Source organism: Homo sapiens, chromosome 1 (assembly GCF_000001405.40).
Source record: "Homo sapiens chromosome 1, GRCh38.p14 Primary Assembly".
Taxonomy (NCBI): domain Eukaryota; kingdom Metazoa; phylum Chordata; class Mammalia; order Primates; family Hominidae; genus Homo; species Homo sapiens.
This window is the reverse complement of record NC_000001.11, coordinates 66,752,154-66,779,047: the sequence shown is the minus strand read 5'-3', so window position 1 is coordinate 66,779,047 and position 26,894 is coordinate 66,752,154. Positions and strand designations below refer to the sequence as shown.

The window sequence follows — 26,894 nt, the reverse complement described above, 5'->3', positions numbered from 1 at the left end:
TATATGTTAAAGAAGTTTCTTCATTTTCATTTATTCATACAAAATTAGTGATATGATTACCCCCGCTGTTGTTCCACGAAGGGAGATGTTCACCAATGTGTAATGAAAATATGAAGCTCATTTACTTGTTATACGTGTAATCTAATCCAGATTGAAAACTGTTCTATGGAGATTGACAAATATTGGTTGTGATAAATTATTACATAGACATATTCCCACTAATGCACTAACAGAAAAAAAAAAGTGAAAATTGACAAATTCATTTTGAATAATCACTTTAAAAGCCAGAAAATAGCAGAAGGGAAGGGATTTTAAAAGTATCCATTTTTTACTACATGTCATTTTTAGGGAAAAGTAAGACACCAAAACATTTTAAAATTAAAGCATTAACTGGTTTTCCATTTGCTAAACTCTTTTTGATATGAATGATAAATCATTTTTTCCTTAAGACTACAGCATTGCTAATTTTCTCCATATGTGTACAATTTGTCTTTGACCTTTAACAAATGTCCTCTAGGCAGTCCACTTACCATCCAAGAACAACGCCACAACATCATTTTACTTGCACACAAAGACTTGAAAGCTTCATAAAAATAAATGATCCGTGGCGTAAGATACATTAACCAGCAGAATAATAAGCTATTTCAGCCCTGTAAATTTTAGCACCCGTCTATTCAAAAACCTCACTGGGTCACTTTAGTATTAAATTCATAGGAGTAAAATGGTAACTACACATGCTTTATTTGTTAAGGTGCCAGCCATATATTTTGTGAAAAAGTTTGTTAGCCTAGGATATTTAAAAGCAATGTCTCTTTCCAATAAATGATTTTATGTGTTACAGACACATTTAGTATTAAGCATCATGTATATTTAATATCACAATGTCTACTTCAGTGTCCCAAAAAGCCTTTATTCACTTTATAGTTTCCATTACTGAAGAGCCAACTTTCGGTTCTCCCACAATTGTGTAAAGTGCAGGCAAGCCACAAGAGCTTCTAGTTTTAGCTTGCAGCCCGTGGGACCACGATAATTGTTATGAAGCCATTAATTCTACCTCAGCAGTTTCAACTGTCAGGTACATGTAACAATAATTGCACTTAATGAATGCTGCTCAATTTATTAAGTACAAAATGAAAACCAGTATTCTTTTATATGCAGCACTGAGGCACATTATTTATCATTTGTGTATACCATGTTGAATATTCTACTATCATTTATTGGTCAGGGTATATAGCCATAGTTTTTCTAAAGCTTCTTTTTATTAAAAAACAATGCAGGAAATTGTAACACTCTAATTAAAGAATAATTAAAATAATTAGTACCAAAACAAATATTTAATAAGAATCTATGTCTATGGAAAGCAATCCAGCAAAACCAAGATCAAGTTCCTGCTTTAGATAAACAAGATTCTTTCTGTGGCTACCCTCCCCTCCCCAAATCTTTACTAGAATATGAAAAAATTCAAAAGCTTCCAGTTGCTTGAAATATCAGTGTTGTTTCTTTCTCAAAGTTTTTGGCAGTAAAACTTTTGTGTACAGACATACAGCCTGCCTCAGAATTTTCAAAAGTAAGAGCTAGATTTCTTATTTTCAATCACTCAAGGTAAACTGCATAGACATTTGCAAGAGCGAAGAGAGAAGAATTTCTGAAAACATAAGATGAAAAGGTATCACTTTTAGGATCCCAGAGGCATCTGCTTCCAATAAGTATGCTCTGCCTGTTCAGTTGTCCAATGTGAACAATCACAATTAGTTTATACCGTGGAATCATCAAGTCCTTGACCTGGGCTTTAATAACCTAGAAATTTAAAAAAAGGGAGGGTCTTCATTCAGCTACATTGAAACTCAAAAGCATTAACCTTTGTTATAAATATAAGGGATTTAATTTAATAGCATGATGCATTGTAGATACTTTCAGTGATTGTTTTAGAACCGTAAGTATGATTCCCTTCAAGCATGGTCCCCTTGAGATAGAACATTCAGGAACAAAATTTTAACACCAGCAATAAATCAACCTTTTCTAAGATACATGAAATAATTATAATCCAGAACACAGAATTTAATAAATTACATTCTTTGAAAATTTATGTTAAGATGGCTTCATGTCAAAGAATGTTGGCATTGGAGTTACACTGTCTTGTTCATGTCTAATTAAGAAACCATACATCTGGAGTCTCCTGTAATATAACTAATCATTAATGTTTATTAAAGAGTTTGTTATCAAAAAGAAAGTAGAGGAAACCTTGATGAAGTGCAGCCCTGGGGTTTGTAAAAATAGAAATGTGCTTGAAGACCACAATGTCTGTATTTGATGGCACTCAAAGAAGCTGCCTTAGTGAAGAGAAAATAATCATTAAAATGTTGTATCTTTTACAATAAACACTTTTATAAATGGGGCAGTTTTATACACTTTTACATAATGCATGCAAATGATGCTCATGATTGTTTTAGACAAAGGCTTTATGTATATACACACACACACACACACCCACACACACACATATATGTAGAATATGACCTAATTATAAATACGCATTTTAACTGTTACTGCAAATTAATTCCCCTCATCAAAAAAGTAGAGGGTCCGTTGTACTTTAGCAAATATTCTAGCTATTGTTAACACTTTGGGCAAATCACACACGTACCTCAGAAATGGTTTTAGTCATCTGTCTACAGAGCTCTGGTTCATATTCTTCTACTTGTAGATAGCTGGTTACTACATCTTTCAAAATATGATTGACGGTGACCACAGGAAAATGTTTGGGAGGACCTGAAAATACACATAAAATTTATTTCTAAAAAGTAATTTCAAATCACACCCACCCACCCCATAGGCTAATCAAAAGAGTATGGAAACATGGAGGGATTTAATCTTCTGGGTGGACTCTATTGAAAGAAACAAGTGGCTCTAATTAGGTTTCCTGTCAAGTGCTCTGAGAGAGAACAAGAAGACAATATTTTCGTACATTTACGTGACTATCTCAAAAGTGTGTTCAATACTGCTGGGGTTTGACCTTGAAAGTCTCTTCCTTCCCAGGCCCCATTGTTGTGGACATACTTCAAAGTCTCAACAACTTTATAACTGGCTCTCTACCTCTTATATCTCCCGCTCCAATCTATCTACCAGATCTTAAATGACATTCCCCTTAGCGAGGTCTAAAGTGTGATTCCCTACTGCCCCTTCTCCCGCTACCACAGTGCCCCTCTTGTGGACTGCTCCAGCCTCACAGGCTCCATCTGTCTATAAAGGTGCTCCTGTGTCCTTACTCTTGCTCTTTAGTTTTCAAATGGAATATCTTTCCCCATCTTGTTCATCTGAGAAACAGCCACTCATGTTTCAAGACCATCTCAAATGTCTTCTTCTCCAGGTAGCACTCTACCTCCTCTCAGGTAAAAATGTCCCTCCTTTCCATGCACTGGGTCCCCACTGCCATCCTGGCTCCTAATCCACTTGATATTGGCTAAAGCATACCTGCGTTTCCAGTGAAATGGTAAGCAAGCTCGGATTTTATCCTCCTCAGAGTCTAATACAATGCTAAAGGCATAAGAAATTTTTAATGTATGATTTCTGAATTTAAATAGAATTAAATTTTATAGATAATCATTATATATGATATATGACTGTATATTGTATACATATATAATAATGAATACTTTTTATTAAGCCGTTGCTACATGTCAGGCAGTGCGATAAGCACTTCATATTACCTTATATAGTCTTCCAATAGATCTCTGAGGTGAATCTCACTGTTATCTCCATTTGGCAGGTGGGGAAACAGAGATTTATATACATTGAGTAACCTGCCCAGAATCACACAGAGAGGCAGAGCTGGGGTGCACACCCAGGTTTATCTGATGCTAGAGCTTATATTCTCGACCACATTTCATCCACGTTCAGAGGAGAAGCTTCAAATGAATCTTCTTCCTCCTGCATCCCAGGAATATTAGCCATATCATCACTTTGGTCATATACTAATGTCATTGCATGACATGAACATGTGCCCAGGGCCTGGCATACAGAAGCCCAGTCATTATTTGTTGAATTGATAAAGATGAAGGAATGAGATCAAGAATTCTATTCAATTCTCTTTTAATATATGTCAATATCTAGTAATAAGTGTTTGTTTGTGATGACTGTATCTGTCAGGGTCAAATGAAACATATGGCACCCTATAGTTAAAATAATTCCAGGAGGAAGTTCTGAGTGGGCTGTAGAAAATCACAAGGGATAGTGCAGCACCCCTCAGCCAGTGAAAGTAAGGTTGTCAGCCCACCCCTCCCACCCCAAGATTGGGGAATAGAGGAAGAGCTTTTAATAGATCCCAGAAGGGTCATGTGGAGAGGGCTCCCTTGGGAGCAGTTTCTGTCCTTTGGTTGAAGAATGTAACCAGGCTGTGATGAACTCACAGGCAGGAGCCAGGGAAATAAACAGCTCCACCTCACACTTCTCACTCCCTCTGCCTCTCAGCTGAGGTTTCCCACTGGCTGAACTTAACCAGAAGGTTACAGCCTCTGACTGCAGTTCAGTTAGGTGAGCCTCTTGAGGTTCTATAAATCGTTATTTTTATTTTGATGATAATATAGAAATTGTTGAATTCCACTTAAATCGTGGAAGGGTGGGGGTGGAGATTGAATCTAGAAAGTGGTTCTTAAAGATCTCCCCATCATCTCCTGCGAACCCAAGCCTAGGGCATGGTTGATTAACCCAGGGTGACAATGCTCTAGGCCAGGACAATGAGAGTCTTTTTTTGGAATTTTTATTTTAAACTGCAAGTAGGAAAAAAGAGTCAGCCTCTTTCTGGTGGCAAAAGTTACCATGTGACTCTGAGGACCTGCTGGAGGACATGTTTTTCATGGTGGTAAGGAGGCCAGGCCACCAAAAGAGAAGAAAGTGCACATAGGTTAGTGCTGGAAAGAGGGTCCTGGTGGCACTTGAGTCTGTTTCCAGTAGTTCCCGTTGTACAGTGCTACCAATGTCCTTTCCATACTTCGCTTAGATTAAAAAAAAAGTCATTAACCAGATCCTGTTTTGAAAATACTTTGAAATATGGTAATGAAGTATTCTTTTCTTACTTCTTTGTTACCTTTCCCCTAAACATCCAGAATCATCCATCAATGTTCAGTTTCTGACTTCTGAAATAAGCTCCTAAAACTAGTTTCAGAGTAAACTGATGTGAATGGCAAAGCTTTTCTTCTTTCTCGAGATTTTTTTTTTCCTTAGGAGAAAAAACGTGTTTTAGAAATCAAAAGGCAAAGACCTGAAGGATCAAGACAAAAAAAATTTTAAAAACAAACAAAACTTGTCCTTAAAAAGTAGATAAAGATAAGTTTACTTAATGTATGTGGGCCTCCACTACCCCACATTGGGGTAATAATAATAATTACTACATTTTTTTTTGTTAGAATTAAATGAGACAATAAATTGAATATGTTTAGAACAGTGCTTGTCACACAATAAAACACTCCTTAGATATGTGATCTTATTAGTGTTATTGCTGTTATTGTAGTTATTGCATGCTGAAGGAAGAATTGGGGATTTACCTTGCTGAGAAGGCAGCAAGATGAAAGAGGACGTAAGTCTGGAGACAGTGAGGCCTGTGGGATTAGGAAGGACCCCATGTGGTGGTGTAAAATCAATGCTGAGAGATTGACAGGCTCTAAGAAAACCTGACATAGAGACAGGGCCTGAGCACTTCATGGAAGCTGAACTCAAATAATCTCTCTCTTTCTCTCTCAATATTTTGGATCTACTTTCTACTGTGCTGGCTTCATTCTCAAGGCAGGCTGTCTTGATGTGGTAGCAAAGATGGCCGCCAATCTAGTTTGGCTCGGTGCTCGCAGTCCATGTTTGCAAACAACCAGGTGCCACTATACTCAGTTCCAGAAAAAGTCCTGTGGAAAACTTATTCCATAATTAATATGAAGTTACAATGAATATCATGGAAGGCTTTTATTCTTAGTGATCTATAGTAAGGTCCTTGAGTCAGTCACTTTCAGGAGTAGTAACATGATGAATGGAGAGATTTAAACATATAACATCATTTGAGTCTCATAGCATCCATGTGATGTATAGACTATTATCCCTATTTACAAGTGAAGACACTGAGATTCAATGATGCTAAATACCTTGCTCAAGGAATTAGCAAAATTAGTATTCAAATTCAGATACGACAGATGCCACAGCCTGCATTTTCTTTTATATTTGTTTTAGTAATTAATGAGAAATATATAAATGGTATTTTATTAAAAGAAACACACTTTCCTTTTCTATTCCCTTTTCTCCTCTCATGAATGATACTCATGTTTCATCTCATTTTTTGTAGCTGTAATTATTTATGTAAATGCTCTCATTTAAGATGTGTTTAGATGAGGCAAACATTATTGAATGGAATGAAAAATTAATTAAACATAATAGTGCTGGTGATTGGCTGATATTTCCCTCTACTTTTCTGGCCAGTATTACATTGTAAAGATATGATAAACTATTTACCAAAGTCCCACTGATATAGTTTGGATATTTGTCCCCTTCAAATCTCATATTGAAATGTGATCCCCAGTGTTGGAGGTGGGGCCTGGTGGGAGGTGTTGGGGCCAGGAAGGTGGATCCCTCATGAATGGCTTGGTGCTGTCCCAGCGGTAATTACTGAGTTCTTGCTCTATAGTTCTTCCTCTATTAGTTCACATGAGAGCTGGGTGTTTAAAACAGCCTGGCACCTCTCTTGTTCCCTCTCTTGCCATGTGACATGCCAACTCTCCTTCCCTTCTGCCATGCCTAAAAGCTTACTGAGGTCTTACCAGAAGCAGATGTTGGCACCACGTTTCCTGTATAGTCTCTAGAACCATGAGCCAAATAAACCTGTTTTCTTTATAAATTACAGTCTCAGGTATTTCTTTATAGCAATGCAAAAACGGACTAATACACTCACAAAATACCTTTCATATGTGAAATAAACCCAGAAACAAGTAGAAGTGGAAACACAGTTTTGATTAAGTATTAATAAAATGGCTGGTTGAATGCTATAAAAAGGGAATTGTCAAGCATAAAATATTTTAATTATTAAAAAATTCACATAGACTATTGTAGGAAAATACAGGTATATTTCATCTATACTAAGCTTTTTCTAAAATTACTTTTCTAATGTGGTTCATACTCAGTACTTCTAAAACTGATAAGATGCTTTATTTGAGAAAACAAGTTGCAAAAAATATCCTTATGTAGAAACACAGAGATTCACATTTCACTGGCCCTGTCTTGTTCAAATCTGATTCAAACCCTTCCAGCATGCACAGTTCAAAGTCATAGACACCCCATGGCTAAGAACTTTTAGTTGCAAGTGAGGGAAAACCTGACCCAAACTTAGCTTGCCTAACTGAAAAGTTAAAGGGTAGCCAATTGGATTTAGGACTCAAATGATGACACCAGGATTCTGTTGTTTTCTCTCAGTTTCAAGTCAGGGCAAGGTGGCAGATCCTGCCAGAGCCCCTACATTCCTTCAAGTTTCAGGGCTTTATGTTCTTCTGCAACAGGCCAAACAACATTTTCTGAATTTAATCTCAAAGTCTTTGATTGGATTCACCATGGTTATATGCCATCCTAGAATCAGTCACTGCTCTATCTATAAAGCCAGTGCCAGCTTCATTAGAATGCTAGGATCAAAAGTGGTGATGTTGGTGGAATTTCAAAGGAAATTTAGTGAGGTTACCAGAGAAGTATAAAAGTATATTGGATGGCAGGAATATTAGCTGTCCACCACAGGCACTGTGAAAATACCAGTAGATTGGCTAATTATGGAGCCGTGTAATCCATGTAGTCTTGGGGACTCCTGTAGAAAACTGGCTACAAGGCCAGAGGGGACAGGCTGATGGTCTATAATTTTCTTGGGGTTAACTGGCCACAGATGGAATCACCTTGGCCCATAGAGTCTTTCTTTGCCCCTTGGTAAATCTCTGTGGAATTTCCATATAGCAGTAATTATGTATGAATTCAGGTAATAGTGGGCAGGTACGCTTTTAGAGAAAACAAGTGGGTCTATGAGGAAACATGGATGGGAAAAGATATTTGCCACGGACTCCACCTGGGAGTATAGCGGCAGGTGCAAAGATCTTTGTTTTCAAAGACTCAAAACCTCAGTGGTAATGGATAAACGTCTCTGTCAACAGGGGACTATGAGTCATTTGCCTTTGCTTTGAGTTTTTTTTTTTCCTTCACCTAACAACACTGATTGGTTTTGTTGGATAAAATATCAATACTTATCTCTTTCATTTAAGTCATATCTATGTACCCAGAAATACTCAGTGAATTTGTTAAGTCAGTAGTATACTGTATGCATCAGTGCCACCCAGTGAATTGTTTGGCATTTGGGAAACATTAGTAAAGAAAAGTAAGACAGCAAGTGTTGTTACCTTTTTGCTGAGGAAGAAACTAAAGCAACATCAAATCACTCAATTCATTAAAGTCCCTTATATTGTGCTAGAATTGAAGACAATGCCAGGTTATCAAATATCATTTTTAAGAGAATCAGTCACCAATTTAGAAGTTTAAAATAGGAGTGAGAGATAAAAGAACACACCCAACTGATAGGTGTTTTCCATCTGAACTGTAAGGCGAGAGATATCATCACGCTGACTGGGTTCTTCCATATAAGACACAGTACTCATAGAACTAAAAACAAGGGAGAAAACAAATTTTAGTCATTATTATAACAATAATAACAAAATACAATATTGCTTTAAGCTAAAATGTTACAAAGATGAAGTTTTCTCAGAAAATTTCAAGTAAGTCTTATGTAAATATCCTAGTGGCATATTGAAAGTCCAAAACATTTTAGAGATGGAAATATTAAGATGCAGAGGAATTATTTGGAGCAGGTCTCAATGTGATGGCTGAAGCCCAGGGCAGTTACCCAGGTCATCAAATTATCCAGAAAGCGATCCTGGGTTGATGTATGTGTATGGGGTAACAGTACATACTTCAAAATCCATTGCCAATCGCATCTCCACCACTGATATAAAGCCTCTCCTCAAAGTAGATAAAGCTCACAAACAGGGCTGGGGGACATATGAGGAAGCTTAAAATGTTGGAAGACAACTCTATATACACATGGAGTATTATAAAGAGTTCACTATTATATGTAGTTCACAAAATCCCTTTAGTATGAAAAAGAAAAATGAGAAACTCATCTACGTGGTAGAGGAAACCGCAATTCACCAAAACTATAATACATTAATAAGCATCAATCGGCCTTTTCAACATCGAAAAAGGGTTTTGGTTTCGTTATCAAGGCAATATGAGCTTATCCTGGTGCTAAACAGGAGACCCAAGCAAAGAGGAGGCCCCACTGTCTCTCCAGCACTACTTAATTCAACTTAGTTCAGAGGAAATTCAGCTGTAACTAATGACAGTCTCAGAATGCTGCACCCTCAATTTTCTCCACCTGTGAAAATGAACTTTAAGACAGATGTCATTTCAAAGGGGAGGATATAATAGCATGTGTGTGTGTGTGGGTGTGTGTTTGTGTGTGTGTGTGTTCAGAGTGACCACTTTTCTAAGCAGGCTATGTTTTTGCTTTAATTAAATAAAAAATAGATATTTGCTCTTAATCTTTGGGGATCTTTTTTCTTGCAAGGAATTTAAAATACTTAGTTCTACGCTGTTTGGAATTAATGAACTTCTTGCAAATCGATATTTTAAGAAAATCACGGGTAATCTATTTTTAAAAATCCTTTAATGCAATACAACTTACATGATAAATTAGGGTTTACCCACTCAGCCCAAGAAAATGATGGAAGAAATTCTGGCTGCTTTTTTCATGGTGGATTTCTGGATGAGTGACTTAATCTTTATTCTTATAACACCTGCCTTCCTCAATTTACTGCTGCCCTTTGAAGTAGCAACCAGCCTGTTTGGCCACACTGGCTGCAGGTGTTGTGGGCAATACCAAAGATGATTACTGCTGCTTAAAAAACCCAATGTTACATAAACCCCTTGATTCTAAGATAAGTCAGTCTGCTCCATTACTATATATGCTACTTTTAACTTTGTAAAACATTTCCCATAAATTATCTCATTTTACTTTCACAATATCCTTTGAGGTAAGTAAAAGATTCATTATTCTACCCATTTCAGAGATAAAGGGAATGAGGCAAAGGGCTTAATGTACATGTATAAAAGGCAGACAGATTTCAAATGTCCTGTTTACCTCTTAGTGACAAAGTCCCAAGTATGATTATAACAGACAGAATGAAAATAGGGACAATGAAATAATTAATCACTGCAATTAAAACTTACTTGCATAATACAGAAGGTATTCATAAAAACTCAATTTCTTTTCTACTGAACACCATATTAAAAATTCATGGAGAAGAAGAGGTGGTACAAAACTCAAATTAGCTGGAGTGAAAATTCCAAGACAAAAAAGCAAATAAGGATTTTTATAAACTGTCTTCACTATCAGTTACTGAAGATTGACAATCAGTGCACTTAATATTATTATCATTATGAAACTGGTAAATGTCATAAGGGCAGCTTAAAAATCCCACTGGTTGAAGATTGGTGTGCAAATAGAAAGTTTTGCAGATTGACTTTTTTTGAGTTATTGTAGATAAATTTGTTCAGTGCCCTTTTATTTCCATAGGAATCATATAAACAGTGTATGCTCATTTTACAAATTCAAAACATACAGAAAAACATAGAGAAGAAAGTAAAATTACAAAAAATTATTAACCTCAGTTGTTCTCTAACCCCTGTTAACATTAACAAAAATCATTTCAGACATTTGATTTTACATATGGGCTCATATTATAGATGCTTTAAAAAAATTTAAAATGTATCATGGATAACTTTCCATGTCAATAAATAGCAAACAATACTTTAAATATCAAGACAGTACTTAATACATACACATTCTGGATTTCATTTAACCATGTATCATCCATGCCTTTTAGGCTATTTCCAATATTCTACTATTATAAAGAAAATTATAATGAACATCGTGTCAGGGACTCTTATTTACTTTCTAAAGTTGTTCTTTCCTTCTTCCTTGGTAACAGAATCCTACATTTGTAGGAATATTCCTGTGCAGACTAAAGACAAATTCTCAGTCTCTTTTTGTGCTATTGTGGCCTATGTGGCTTATGAGTGAATGAGATGTAAGTGGAACTGTTGTGTGGAAATTCTGAGAGGTTCCTCAAAAGAACTAATGCAGCCTATAGGAGCCTGTTTTGACCCTTCTTTGTGACTGGAATGTGGATATTCCAGAGCTCAGCACTATCTTGGGTCTTGAGGTGACCTTGCAGATTACAGATAAGAAAGAAGCCTCTGAACTTCCTCTCTTCAGACTTATTTTATGTAAGAGAAAAATAAATTTCTATTTTGTTTAAACTAATGTTTATTATTATATGCAGCAGTAGATCTGATAGAAAGTCTAACTAATGCAGAGTTTGCTACCTGGAAGTGGGATGCTACAAGTAATCAATAAATCATAAAACTTGGGGCTGGCAGTGGTGGCTCACGCCTGTAATCCCAGCACTTTGGGAGGCCGAAGTGGGCAGACCACTTGAGGCCAGGAGTTCAAGACCAGCCTAGGTAACATGGCAAAACCCCATCTCTACTAAAATATATTTTAAAAAATTAGCTGGGCATGGTGGCACATACCTGAGATCCCAGCTACTTGGGAGGCTGAGGCACAAGCACAGCTCGAAAGGAAGGTAGAGGTTGCAGTGAGCTGAGATCATGCCATTGCACTCTAGCCTGGGCAACAGAGCAAGACTCTGTCTCAAAAAACAAAACAAAACAAAAACCAGTAAAAACCCATAAAACTTGGAATTAGTTTTAGAGAGGAACTGGGGCTTTGAGGAGTAAATTTTCTATATTTTGCTGGAAACCTGGTAATTTTTTTTTTTTAAACTATTATTTTAAGTTAGGGGGTACATGTGAAGGTTTGTTATATAGGTGAACTTGTGTCACGGGAGTTTGTTGTACAGATTATTTAATCACTCAGGTATTAAGCCTAGTACCCAATAGTTATCTTTTCTGCTCCTCTCCCTCCTTCCACCCTCAACCCTCACGTAGGCCCCAGTATCTGTCGTTCCCCTCTTTGTGTTCATGAATTCTCATCATTTAGCTCCCACTGATAAGTGAGGACATGTGAAGCCTGGAAATTCTTATCATGCAGAGGTAAAATAATTAGTCTATTGCTTTCTGTGCCTTGGAAGGCTGACTGTGCATCAATTAAGACTATAACATCATAAAAAAGTATAGGAAATGTTTACTTTTTAAAACCTGTATTATAAAAATCTGAGATCTGATAGTTCCCACATTAGAATGAAATGGGTTAGAAAAAGGGAGAGAACAAAAAAGAAGGAAAATGTTGAATAGAAAAAATAAGATATTTATTCCTTGAGAAAAGAAAAAAGGAAAAGAGAAAATATTTAAAATGCTTGCAGGTATGGGCAAATAGCATTAAACCAGAATATGAGCTTGGCAAATTTTTAGAAATAAAACAGTTTTATGTTTTAAAATTGGGGAATTGCCAATATCAGTTCAGAATACTGGTTTAGAAAAACCTGGGCATATTTTCTATTGATAAACAGCTTCACTCAAATCCTTTGAAATCTTTAAAGATAAATATGTGAGATACCCAAAAAGTAAATTTATAATTTTAATTACCAGTGCCATATACCTGGCACAATACATTTTTGGGGTATATATCACAATATTACACATGGATGGGTTTCAGTTGTCTGTCATCAGACTTTCCCTAGTTTACAATGACAACCCTTCTAGACACGTGATCTCATTGTAAAGTGAATGCTACGGTTTTATTTTTTAAATATAAAAAATATTCTTGCTGTCTATGTGTTTTACCAGCTTGCTGGCATTTATGGAGAAAAAAATTCAATTGGCAAAACGTGTCCCAGAGAGTTATAAAGTTTTAGAAAGAAAGGTAGATGAAAAGTAATGTAATAAAAGAAAGTCTGGCGTAAACCACTGGTGAGAACACTTAACAAACTAACTAATATTATTGCAGATGGAAGAGTAACAACTTGTAATTCAATGAAAAATACAGTGAATATCTGAAACCACATGTGCTATTGCTGAGGACAGACAGCCTGCATACAGAAGTAGCTGCATGAAATTGGTCCAGAATAACAAAAGTAATCCTCCTTATTTGTACCTGGCTGACACTGGAAATGCACCATGCTAATCCAATAGTATGCATTCTGATTATTTGCAGGAAAAAGACAAAAAAATTATTTAAGAAGTTAGAGCCTGTAGTCCCAGCTGCTTGAGAGGCTGAGGCCGGAGAATTGCTTGAACCTGGGAGGCGGAGGTTGCAGTTAGCCGAGATCACGCCACTGCACTCCAGCCTGGGCAACAGAGCAAGACTCCATCAAAAAAAAAAAAAAAGAAAAAGAAAAGAAAAAGTTAGAACATATTTACTCTTTAATGAAATTCATTTTTTTCTTAAAAACATCTTGCAAATTTGCTTGCTGACCAGTCTTTGAATTACCTAGATAAACACAAGGCATGTCTTTTTATTATGACAGTTAGAGATGGTAACAATAATTTCAGTTAATTCTCATCAGCCACAATAGCATCTAATTATTATTGAGAACTCATTTCCATACGTTTTCAGAGTTATTATTATACCTAGATGTTTTGAAGCTGCAGGAAGAGATAATATTGAACGCATAACTGGCCTTAGAGACATTAAAGTAGTATCTTTAAAGGTCAGAATATCATCTTTTCCTTCTATTTGTAACTATGAAATGCCTGGAACCACCATGTTTATAAATATAGTATCATTTAAGTGTGTCTTCTTCGGAGGGGAGATAAGCTGTTATTAAATCATGTGCTGCCTCCCAGTGGTGATATTTCAGAGTGCACAGAGAAAAACAAGGTCTTCAGGGTATAAATTTGTACATTTGTACTTTCCATTTTTCTTCATTCTTTCAACAAATGTTTATTGCCCACAACATGTCAGGCACAGTGGGAAGTACTGGTAACACAGATAAAAATAAGAGCCCTTCTGCTCAAAAAACAGGATGTAGAATGAGATTAAATATGCATAGAAACTCCTTTACTTGGGAACTTTCCACCTAAGACTATCCATGGATATTTTTATGAGTGTTATGCTCAAGAGCAAAGCATACCAACTTGTCCCCAGCAGTAGATGATGTTATTTGTCTGGTAAGGTAAGTTAGTTTTGCAGTTATTTAGTTTATTCCAAATTTGCTGGATTTTTATGTACAGGCATATCTCATTTATTGTGACTCACTTTATTCTGCTTTGCACACAATGTGTGTTTACAAATTGAAGGTTTGTGGCAACCTTGCATTGAGCACATCTGTCAGCATTATTTTTCCAACAGCATGTGCTTACTTCATGTCTCTACGTCACATTTTGTTAATGCTCACAATATTTTAGATTTTCATATTACATCTGTTATGGAGAGCGATGATCAGTGTTATTTTATGTTATTATTGTAATTGGTTTAGGGTGCCACAAACTGTATCCATATAAAGAAGCTGACTTAATTGATAAATGTTATGTGTGTTCTGACTTCTCCACTGACCAGCCATTTCCCATGTCTCTCTCTTTGGGTCTTCCTATTTCCTGTGACACAACAATATTGAAATTAGGCCAATTAATAATCCTACAGTGGTCTCTAAGTGTTCAAGTGAAAGGAAGAGTCCCACATCTCTCACTTTTAAATCAAAAGCTAGAAATAACCAAGTGTGGTGAGGAAGGCATGTCAAAAGCCGAGATAGGCTGAAAGCTAGGCCTTTTGGGCCAACAATTAGTCAAGTTGTGACTATAACTAAGTAGATTTTTTGTTTGTTTGTTTTTGTTTTTTTTTGAGACAGAATCTCGCTTTGTCACCCAGGTTGGAGTGCAGTGGTATGATCTTGGCTCACTGCATCTTCAAACTCCCAGGCTCAGGTGATCCTCCCACCTCAGTCTCCCAAGTAGCAAGGACTACAGGTGCACACCACCACACCTGGCTAATTTTGTTTTAATTTTTTGTACAGACAGGGTTTTGCCATGTTGCCCAGGCTGGTCTCGAACTCTTGAACTCAAGTGATCCACCCACCTCAGCCTCCAAAGTGCTAGGATTACAGGTGTGAGCCACTGCACCTGCCTGAAAAGTTCTTGAAGGAAATTAAAAGTGTCACTTCCGTGAACACATGAATGATAAGAAAGCAAAACAACCTTATTGCTGATTTGGAGAAAGTTTTAGTGGTCTGGATAGAAGATCAGACCAGTCACAAATTCTCTTAAGCCAAAGCCCAATCCAGAGCAAGGCCCTAACTCCCTTCACTTCCATGAAGGCTAAGAAAAGTGAGGAAGCTATGGAAGAAGTTTGAAACTAGCAGAGGTTTGTTCATGAGGCTTGAGGAAAGAAGCCATCTCTGTAACATAAAAGTGCAAGGTGAAGCAGCAAGTGCTGATGTAGAAGCTGCAGCAAGTTACCCAGAAGATCTAAGATCATCGGATAAGCTAAGATCATTGATGAAGGGGCTACAATAAGCAACAGATTTTCCATGTAGATGAAACAGTCTTATTTCAGAAGATGCCACCTAGGGCTTTTATAGCTAGAGAGAGGTCAATGCCTGGCTTCAAAGCTTCAAAGGACAGACTGACTTTCTTGGTAGCAGCTAATGCAGCTTGTGCCTTTAAGTTCAAGCCAATACTCATTTACCATCCTGAAAATCCCAGGGCCCTTGAGAATTATGCTAAATCTACTGTGTTCTATAAGTGAAACAAAAAAGACTAGATGACAGCACATCTGTTTTACGGCATAGTTTCTTGAATATTTTAAGCCCACTGTTGAGACCTACTGCTCTGAAAAAGAGATTCCTTTTAAAATATTACTGCTCATTGACAATGCACCTGGTCACCCAAGAGCTCTGATGGAGATGTACAAGAAGATTAATGTTGCTTTCATGCCTGCTAACACAACATTCATTCTGCAGCCCATGGATCAAGGAGTAATTTCGACCTTCATCTCATTTATTTACTTATTTTTGTATTTTTAATTGATGTATCATAGTGATACATTTTTATGGGGAACATGTGATATTTTGATACATGCATACAAAATGTGTAATGATCAAATCAGGACAACTGGGATATCCATTGCCTCAAACATTTATCTTTTCTTTGTGTTGGGGACATTAAAATTCCTCTAGCTATTTTTTTCCCCTAACCCCCACTAGCTATTTCGAAATATATAATAAATTATTGCTAACTATAATTTCCCTACTGTATTATTGAATACTAGAACTTATTTTATCTAATTGTATTTTTGTATGTATTCACCAACTTCTTTTCACCCCATAAATCTTACGATTTAAGAAATTCATTTTGTAAGGCTATTGCTGTCATAGATGTGGATTCCTCTGATGGATCTGGGCAAAGTAAGTTGAAAAGGATTCACCATTCTAGAAGCCATTGAGAACATTTATGATTCATGGGAGGAGGTCAAAGTGTCAACATTAACAGGAGTTTTGAAGAAGTTGATTCTAGCCCTCAGGGATGACTTTGACGGGTTCAAGTCTTCAGTGGAGGAAGTAACTGCAGATGCAGTGGAAATAGAAAGAGAACTTGATTTACTGTTAAAGGATACAAAATTATAGCTAGATAGGAGAAATAAGTTCTAGTGTTTTTACCACTGTAGGGTGACCATAGATGAAAATAATACATAGATTCAAAGAGCTAGAAAGAGGACATTGAATGTTCCCAACAGGAAGAAATACTAAATGTTTGAGATAATGGATATGCTAATCACCGTGATCTGATTACTATACATTATATTTATGGAAAAATCACTATGTACCCCATGAATATGCATAATTGAAATTTTCAATAAAAAACATAAAATTTAAAATGGTTAAAAAAGAAATGGAACTTGAATATGTGGCTGAATTGCTGCAATCTCATGGTAAACTTAAACAGATGAGGAGTTGCTTCTTACAAATGAGCAAAGAAAGTGGTTTCTTGAGATGGAATCTACTTCTGGTGAAGATGCTGTGAACACTGTTGAAATGACAACAAATAATTTAGAATATTACATACACTTAGTTGATAAAGGAGTGGCACGGTTTGAGATGAATGGACTAATTTTGAAAGAAGTTCTACCATGGTAAAATGCTATCAAACAGTATCACATGCTACAGGGAAATCTTTCATGAAAGGAAGAGTCCATTGATGTGGCAAGCTTTAAAATTTATTTTATTATTTCATTTCATTTTATTTTTATTTTATTTGAGATAGTGTCTCTCTCTGTTGCCCAGGCTGGAGTATAGTGGTATGATCAAAGCTCACTGCAACCTCAGCCTCCCAGGCTTAGGGATCCTCCTGCCTCAGTCTCCCAAGTACCTAGGACTACAGGCAGGTACTACTATGCCTGGCTGATTTGTTTGTAGGGAAGGGGGTGTCTCACTATGTTGTCCAGGCTGGTCTTGAACCCCTGGCTGCCGTGATCCTCTTGCCTTGGCTCCCCAAAGTGTTGGAATTATAGGCGTGAGTCACTTTGCCCAGCCTGTTGTCTTATTTTATGATATTGCCACAGCTATCCCAACCTTCAGCAACCATATCCCTGATTAGTCAGCAGATGTCAACACTGAGGCAAGGCCCTCCACTAGCAAAAAGATGACAACTTGCTGAAGGTTCAGATGATCATTAGCATTTTTAGCAATAAAGGATTTTTATACTAAGGTATGTACATTTTTTCTTTAGATAAAATGCTATTGAATACTTAATAGACTACATACAGAACAGTGTAAACAATTTTTATGTGCACTGGAAAACTAAAACATTCATGTGACTTCCTTTATTGCAAAATACACTTTATTGCAATGGTCTGGAAATAAACCTGCAATATTGCCAAAGTATGCCTGTAGTTTTTAGGTATTTTACTCACATTATTTGCTCCATTTTACTAGTAAGAGAAAGGCTATAATGGAAAGAAAAGATAATTTTCAAAAATGAAAGAGGCAGGAACATGACAAATGACACTGTCTTGTGGAACATATTTTTTTCGAGTAGAAGTGATGCTGAAGGATAAAGAATGAACCATGCAACCTGTGAAAAGCGCAGCTCTGGAGTAATTGAAGGTAATCCAGAAATGGTGATTGACAAAGTACAACAATTTTAAGTATGTGGATAGAAGATCAGAGTTAGTGTCTGAAGCCTGTTGAGCTAATGCTCATCCAAGAGCAAGGGAGGTGATAGTTAAGCACAGCTGATGAACTTTTGTTGCAGCTCTTGGATGAAATGCATTGGTTCAAAGCTGTGTCACGCTGGGCAATCATCAGAGGTGATGCTGGTAGTGCAGGTGCCATGAATACCTCTACAAAGCTGTGGAGATCATCAAGGAGGAGTGTGGCCTATTACAACAGATTTCCAACACAAATGAAACTGTTCTTTTGGGTTTTTTAAAAATAGATGCACAATGGAATGTGTCAGCATGGAGGTAAAGGTATACATTAAGAAAATCTGAACAAGCATTTTTCTATTTGCTGTAAATGCATCTTATGTCTATAAGAGGAAAGCCCCTAGTCAACCTGGACTTAACACATGCATGGACCTGTGAACCTAACTTGTTCGTGAGCAAAAGAAACTTGCTTGCTCAGGAATTGATAAAATGCAACAATTATTCATTCGATGATCACAAAATATGTACTGAGTGACTATTATATGCCAGGCACTATTTTAGGTCTTTGGGATGCAATACTGGAAAAAAAACAAAAACAAAAACAAACTATGGTCTCTGCTCTCATGGAACTGTTACTTTAGTAAGGCAAGACAGAGAATAGACAATAAAATACTAAACAAGCAAATTATATATTATGATAAAAGGTGATACATGCCTCAGGGAAGAGAAAAAATAGAGCAGGTTAAGGGAGTTTGGAAGTGGGTGGAGGAGAAGATGTGATGTGCAATTTCAAATGAAGTGGTCAAGGTAGGCCTTCATGAACAAAGAAAGGAGGTGAGGAAATGAACCACATGGATGGCTGAGGGAAAGGTATACTAGGAAGAGAGAACAGCACATGCAAATGCTTTGAGACAGGAGGCTGCTAGTGTGTTTGAGAAAATGCATAGAGACAAGTAGCAGAGGGAGGAAGAAGAAAAGGAGTGAAAGAAGATAAAGTTGCAAAGGTATCAGGTAGCTAGATCATGTAGGGCTTTGTGAGCCATTATTCTGTAAGCTCTTACTCTGATAAAGCAGACACACCCCTGTATTTTCTAAAAACCATTAACTTTCTTTGCCAAATGGCGATATCAGGTTTTACTCTCACATGCCTTGCCAACATTTGGTATTATTCTCTTTTCTTCTGTTTTGCCATTTGGATGGGTGCAAAATGGTATTTTGTTTTAATTTATATTTTTTCTGCTTGAAAGTGAGTTTTAGCACCTCTTCATATTCTGCTTAGCTATTTGGGCTTTGTTTCTGAAAATTGCTGTCTTCTTTGACTATTTTAAAAATTGTTTTCCTAGCATAAGTTGTTAATGTACAGGGTTTAAAAAAACGTGTATGTATCTTCAGCCAGCCTATTAATTATGTCTATTGTATCCTTTGTTGAGCAGAAGCCCTAGATTTTATTGTGGTTATATTTATCCAAAAATTATTTTGCTCTATGGTGTGAGTTTTCATTTTGGGATCTTCTTTCAGAAATCTTTCCTTACTCCTAGAACATAAAGATATGGGCCTGTGCTTTCTTCTCTTAGCTTTGTTAATAGATTCCCACATTTTGGTCTTCCATCTGGAGTTTACCTATGCAAAGCATATAAGGTAGGAGGCCAGCTTCATTTTCCTCCCTATAATGAGCCAGTTTTCTGCCAACACAATCTATCATTTCCCCATTTACAAACATAAATGGGGATAAAAATATCTTGTCTGTTTAACTTACACAGATATTGTATGTGAAATGGCTTAATAACCTAAAATGACAATACAATATTAGTTGTTATTGTGGTTTCATTTGGAAACATGGCCATTTCAGTTTTCCCAAACTATTTTCTCTTTTTGGGGGAGGCTATATCTCAGGTAGGTCTTGTTGGGGGCTTTAGTTTAACATACATGGTGATACAACTTATCTCCTAACTCTGATCTTCTAATCTCTAGCCTTCTCCTTCAGGTATCAAAATGAAGAAATTGTTCTGGCAGCACCATTTTCAATTGCCCGTAAACAGCTCACAGTAGTATAGATTGAATGATAGAATAAATTCATTACTGTTGAAATGAAGTAATGAATGCAATCATTTCCATTTTGGTCACTTTTACTGGCAAGACCTAGACAATGTGAAAAAAGTTACCAGGCAGCTCTCAGTTTCCCTGAAAAATGAACTTATCTAAATTAGAAACCTGTAGTTATTCACCTTTATATGCCTAATATGTGGCACAGTAATTGGCACATAGAAGCTAATAAATCCTGAATAAATGAAGAAATACATATAGTGTGGCCTAACTGGTATGTTAGATGCCATCAGTGGGTTCACACGGGGAGCTGTGGGATCCATACAGAAAGTTCTGGTAACATGACATCACTGTAATTTTGGTTTGAGGCAAAGGAGAGAATGTTCAGCCCCCAACCTTGTCCCTAATCTACTAGTGGAACTCCTGGCCTCACAGATAACAAGCCTAGACATCATGTCACATGATCCTGTGAAAGTAACTTGACCTCATAGCTTCTGTTTCCATTTTAAGGAAATGAGAGAAGCACATCTGTTCAAACACTGTTCAGTGTCTGCCAAAGTCTGAGCTTCCAATAAGAAAGATGTAATTGTAAAGACCTGCTCTTACTGTGGACGGGAAACAGAAGGTTCTGGTGAATGAACAGAATAGTTTTATTAATGCAAATCACACATGGATTGCCAATTTTCAGGAAATGAAAATACTCAACTAATAAACAAAAGCCCATTTTTGCTGCTTGTTAATTCTGTAGCTTTGGAGCCTCAATCTCTCTAAGCTTCTGCTTCTTCATTTGTCGAATGGGGGAGATAATAACATCTATCTTTATAGAGCAGGAGTTGGCAAACATTTCTGTAAAAGGCCAAATAGCAGATATTTTTGGATTTGCAGGCCCTACGGTTTCTATTGTAACTACTCAACTCTGCTGTTACAGTGCGAAAGTGGCCAGAGACAACGCACAAGTGAATAGGAATGGCTGTGTCCTAATAAACTTTATGCATATAGAGATTTGAATTTCTTGTTATTTTTACATGCTGCAAAAAAAACTGTTCCCCTTTTGATTTTTTTCACCTATGTAAAAATCGTATTTAGCAAAACAGATGCAGATTGGAATAGGCCCTTGGGTCATAGTTTGCCAACTCCTATTATGGAGCTTCTATGATACATAAATAAGGTTCATCGCAAGGGCCCTATAAATGTTAGCTATTATCATCCTTATTATTATAAATTGTTCAGGTAAAAAATAATTTGAAATTACAGATGGAGTATGATGACCACTGTGTAGTGTACTGTCTGGACTCAGACAGCATGGGTCTGATATATGTATGTCCAGGTCTAACAGAAATATGCCAACACACTAACAGTTAGGATAATAAGATCCAGCTTAAGATGTTTCTGTTTTTTCTTTAATAAAACATAAAAATTACATTAAATTGAAAAGATAACTTAAAAACAGACCCAATCTTGAAAACAGTTCACAATAATATTTAATATAAATTTAATCTTCTTTTTGTAATTCAGAAGGCATTTCAGATATTTATTCTGTCTGGGGATCATTGTTAAGCATTAGTTACAACTGTGGAAGACTGTAGACATGGAAACCAAGACTGTAGGGCTAAATCTGTGCTGATCTTATACCACATATAAGAAGCAGCTTTTCAAGGAGGTCTACCTTTACTCTTCATGTCCTCCTTATAAGTGTGGTTACCGCTAAAAAGACAAATAAGTCCATAGTCTGTTGAAAGAGATAGACAAGCAAATCACCAAATATAGTGCATATCGAAGGCAAAAGCAGTAGGAGAAGAAAGGCAGATCATCCAATGCAGTCTGGAGGTAAAGGTGGTCATAGATGAGTAATTAGAGAGCACTTCCCAAAAAGGTGGAGATGGAGCGAAATTCTGATGGAAGAAGTGAAGAAAGCCAGGGGAATAGTGTAAGAAGAGCATTGCAGGCAAGGAGTCGGGGTACCCCATGGGGAAGCAACATGGGGCAATGGCTGGGGGCCAGATAGAGCACTGAGGAATAACTGAGTATAGCTGGAGGGGATGATGCCCGCAAGATGGTGGGGAAGATGGTGCTATGGAAGTAGATAGGGGTCTGTGGACTTTGTATCTCATAGTCAGGATTTGGGACTGTATCCTAATCATTAAGTCAAATTACTTGACCTGTAAACTTTAGTTATTTCATAGTAAAGTGGTAGAAATGATGCCTACCTAGTAGGATTAATGCGGGGGAGATTCAGTGAGATAATGTATTCAGTCCTTAATAAACTTCAGAATGTTTTACATTATTGAAATTTATATTTTCAAAATTGTTTTAAAGTAATTTTCAAATGAAAGTTATATGTTTTTCCATAAAACACTGCAATTTCAAAACAATGCCTGTATTTGATAGTCACTAAGCTTTCAGAATTTTTCTACTAGTTGAAGCCTCATTCATGAAGGAGAATAACTTGTACTGTCTAATTCCAGACAGTGAGGAAGCCAATGGAAAGCAAGTATTAATACAAGTTAGCATGGGGTGGGGGAGCCTCCTAAATAGTCTGCATTGCAAGGGGACTTGGAAGCTGATCATTTGCTATTTAAGAAAAAAAGTACAAATAGAGGTTCCATTCTAAATGTTTTGTTTGGGAGTCCAAAACCAAAATAGTTATCATTTAAATGTAGTTGTCAGTGAAAAATCTATCCTAATGTGTTGATAAATATGATTTTTGTATTCTTATTTTTAATATGTATTTATATTCATCAATAATAGGTTAAAAAGAGTGATCTCTAATTCTTCAAATGTAGCCACACTCTGATTCTATATGACAAATTTGTTTTGAAGGGGAAAAGATAAGTAAAAGTCATGCAAATAGGAATTACAATTTAATCTTTGGAGACAGTATTTAAAAAAATATCATGGGTACGTAATTTATGTCAGACTATTACTTAAATAGTTTCTTGGAAAACGTAAGTTGAATTTAAGCCAACAATCAGTTTTAAATAATTTAAAAAATAACCCTTGCACTTAACTATTGGAAATAGCAGCCAGAAAAGTTTAGAAGCAAAAATTACAAAGATTAATCATTCTCCCACCTTTACTTCTGACATGTGCTGGGATTGCTACTCCTTTATAGTCAGTTTCCCACCTGTAAAAGGCATTGTATGTGTAATCCACAGACTTCCAGGGCTGGAATGTGGAGTTGCAAGTAGGCATTAATACACTCTGAGAATAGAAAGATTTTGGTTTCAGAATTCTAATTATTCCAGTTCTTCTACTCTCTGTTCTGCAGGACACCCTAGCTCCTGCTTCCCAATATATACTCAATATACAACATCCTCCAAAGCTATAGAAACTAAGAACGAAAGTCTATTATTAATTGACTGCTACGTCGATAATTTGTTTTGTTTTCTTCCCAACAGCAGTCAAAAGGAAATGCCATGAAAATATTAAAAATTGATGTATATCTTTAGGAGAGAAGATGCAACATGTAGCAAGAACCAAAAAATCTACTTATTGCCCTTTGACCTACTAATTATTCTTCTGGGAAATGACCAAGCACAGACATATAGTAAAAAAGAAAAAAAATGGAAACAAACTTAAAGTGTCCAATAATTAGAGAATGGTTAAGGAACCCAGAATCATAAATTGACAAAATATTATGCAGTCATTTAAGAGGATATGGAAAAAACTATGAAAATACATGACAAAATTATATACAATAATGTTAAGTACATTGTATATGTATGTATTGATTACAAAAATGCAAAACCTATGTTATAAAATATTGAGGAGAAGAACTCAAAAGACATATAAGCGTGTCTGGTTTACATTGCATGTGGTGTTTCTTTTGAGCAGAGGGTTTTTTGGGATGATTTTTGAAATAGCAAAAATGCTGCTAGGATTAACTTATCACTTAAGCTTTCTCTCTTTCTCTTTCTTTTTAAATATGGCCCCTAAAGATGACCTGCACCTTGTACTTGCCCATTTTATCTCTTTTTATGTCCCCGAGGAAGTGTTTTTTTCTCCTAATAAACATTACGAACCTATTTATTCAATAAATGAATTTACAATTTTAGACAGTTACTCACTCTTTGATGCGCCCATGAATTTCCTTTCGCCAAAATTCATGATTACTTAGAGAAGAAATACTCCCTCTTTTCTTCCATGAATGAGCTGCTCTGCCTTTAGCATTGTCTGACATCATCATAACCTATGGAAGAAGACTTTTGTAAAATAGCAAAAGAAAGATCCGGAAACATTTTAGTTAGTATAACAGGGACTAATCTCAAAGTACACAGATAGTTTTCCTACCATTTTTGAACAGGAAAGTGGGGTTTCCTCAAGAGCAATATATAGAATTTGTTGTTATTCTGATCAGTGAAACTGGAACTATGATAACTCTGAAAATGCTTATTTATGCAATAGTATAATTATTTACATAAGCAGATATTAAGCTATAGCAAAAATGCTTAGCTGATGAAGACGGAGGTCATTGACAAAAGATATGCATGTATAGCAGAAAGATGCTATCCTACATCAGAAACCAATATTTGTATTGCCCCCCAAATGTAACCATAATACAACTTTGCTAATTAATATTTGCTGTCACTGTTATATTTTATTTTTGAGACAGGGTCTTGTTCTGTCACCCAGGTTGGAGTGCAGTGGCATGATCATGGCTCACTACTGCCCCAAACACCTGGGCTCAAGCGTTCCTCCCAACTCAGCCACCTGAGTAGCTGGGACTGCAGGTGTATGCCATCAAGCTGGGCTAATTTTTAATTTTTTGTAGAGATAGGGTCTATGTTGCCCAGGCTGGTCTTGAACTCCTGGGATCAAGCAATCCTGCTTCAGCCTCCCAAAGTGCTGGGATTACAGGCATGAGCCACTCTACCTGGCCTATTTTATTATTTTAGAGACAGGATCTAGCTCTTGTTACCCAGGCTGGAGTGCAGTGGCATGATCATAGCTCACCGTAACTTCAAACTCCTGGGCTCAAGCGGTCCACCCACCTCAGCCTCCCTAGTAGCTAGGACTACAGGCCTGCACCACCATGCCTAGCTAATTTTTAAACATTTTTGTAGAGACAAGATCTTTCTGTGTTGCCCAGGCTGGCCTTAATCTCCTGGCCTTAAGTGATCCTCCTGCCTTGGCCTCCCAAAGTGCTGGAATTACAGGCATCAACCACTGTGCCTGACCCACCATGACTTTAAAAAATAAAATTAGGGGTAGGGAGCTAGAAAATAAATAAATAAATAAAAATTAAAATTAACCTTGCTTTCCCAAAGATTTTTTGTTGTTTGTTTTGTTTTCTCGAGCAACATTTACATAGTTTGTAAAGAGCAAATAGGACTTAACTTTTAAATAAATAATTTATTGGAAAACTCCCTCCTTCCTACTAATACTTGTTAAAAAGCTGGTAGTAGCAATGGACTTCCCAGAACTTGGACTATAACTCTAATAATGCCCTCATTGTCTACCTACAAATTTAAGTATTCATTTAAATTATTTCATAATCTATAAATGTGAGAGCCCCGATAAGGAAATACTGTGCTAGACACCAAAGCATAAAAATAGAAGAGAATCCATGCCTTCAAGGAGCTGGCAGTTGAGTAGGTAGGGCACACAAGAACATACCCTAAAACCCAGTGGCATCAATGTCAGAGCAGAGGTGCTGTGTGTGGGTGAGGCAGGCAGCGTGGTGTGTGTGTGCACGTGAGTGTGAGCGTCCTTGAGTGTGTACCTGTGAGTGTGCATCTCTGTGTGTGCAGGTGCCTGTGTGTATAAGTGTGTCTGTGTTCGTGTGTACGAAGGTGAGTGTGTTTATGAGTGTGGAAAGACACACAGCCTGATTAGGTGGGTCATTCAGGTTTTGCTGCAAAGCCACATAGACCCATCTCGGCCTCAGCTGTTTCCAAAGCTGCCCTGCAGGCCGCCCCCTCCCCAAGAAAGGCCAGAGTTGGGACCTGGAGGTCCTCATGGGTGCGGCCAGCCACAGGAAGACCGCCCCGGGTCAGGGGATGACCTTGCTGGCCGGCTCTGCGTTGGCCATCACTCTTGAAGCCCAGCCCCCAGCCATGCAATGGGGCAGGGGACGAACCGTTGGGACCGACTTTCAGTTCCCAAATTTGGGATCATTTTTTCTTATGTGTTGGGGAGAGGAGGAATAAGGTGGCGGAGAGATCGGGGCCAAGTAGGGCCATTTCTCAACAAAGGGCCGATCCCTTGCCCCCTATCCTTCCTTTGGGGTCCAGACGCGCTGCAGAGAGAGGCGACCCTACCTGCAGCAGGGAGGCTTCGCCCGGAGCCTCCCAGACCTCCGGCACTGCAGACACTGCGCGCGGCGCGGCTCCCGCGTCCCAGGCTTCATTCAGCCGGCGGCCGCCCGCGCACTCTCCCTGGACTCTGAGGCCGGTCTCCAGGGTGACCTCAAACAGAGCCCTCGGCCCTCCCCGGCCGGACTTGGCCGCTGAGTGGCCCTCTGAGCTGCCCTAAGGATGTAGAGGATCTCATCTTCACTGCCCACTGGGGGTCACTCTGAGCCGGGCTGCGTCCTGGGTTGGCGGCGAGCTGGAGGGGAACTGGTTCATTGTGTAGCGAGGAAGACATTTGGGACTAAAGACATTTGCACCCCTAGGGCCCCTCATCAAGTTCCTTTTCCCGCAGACATCAGGGGCAGGAGTGGGAAGTGCTGCGGTTTCCTAGCACAGGA

At 37.5% G+C, this 26,894-nt stretch overlaps 1 protein-coding gene across 5 annotated transcripts; it reads right to left on the bottom strand.

The window, feature by feature from the left end:
* Nucleotides 1-26,589, bottom strand: DYNLT5 (dynein light chain Tctex-type family member 5). 5 transcript variants are annotated; one of them, NM_152665.3, is made up of 5 exons: nt 26,464-26,589; nt 24,271-24,392; nt 8,570-8,661; nt 2,645-2,769; nt 1-1,797 (listed from the first exon to the last, which is right to left on the bottom strand). In NM_152665.3, the coding sequence occupies exons 2-5, from the start codon at nt 24,387-24,389 to the stop codon at nt 1,594-1,596; spliced, it is 540 nt and encodes a 179-aa protein (NP_689878.2). In that variant the 5' UTR covers nt 24,390-24,392; nt 26,464-26,589; the 3' UTR covers nt 1-1,593. The 5 variants fall into 5 exon arrangements, with proteins under 5 accessions (NP_689878.2, XP_047304622.1, XP_047304624.1 ...); XM_047448666.1 differs by lacking the exon at nt 26,464-26,589 and adding an exon at nt 23,328-23,404 and having other exon boundaries at nt 24,271-24,353; XM_047448668.1 differs by lacking the exon at nt 1-1,797 and adding an exon at nt 5,073-5,215 and having other exon boundaries at nt 2,676-3,534.
* Nucleotides 26,590-26,894: the final 305 nt, after the last annotated feature.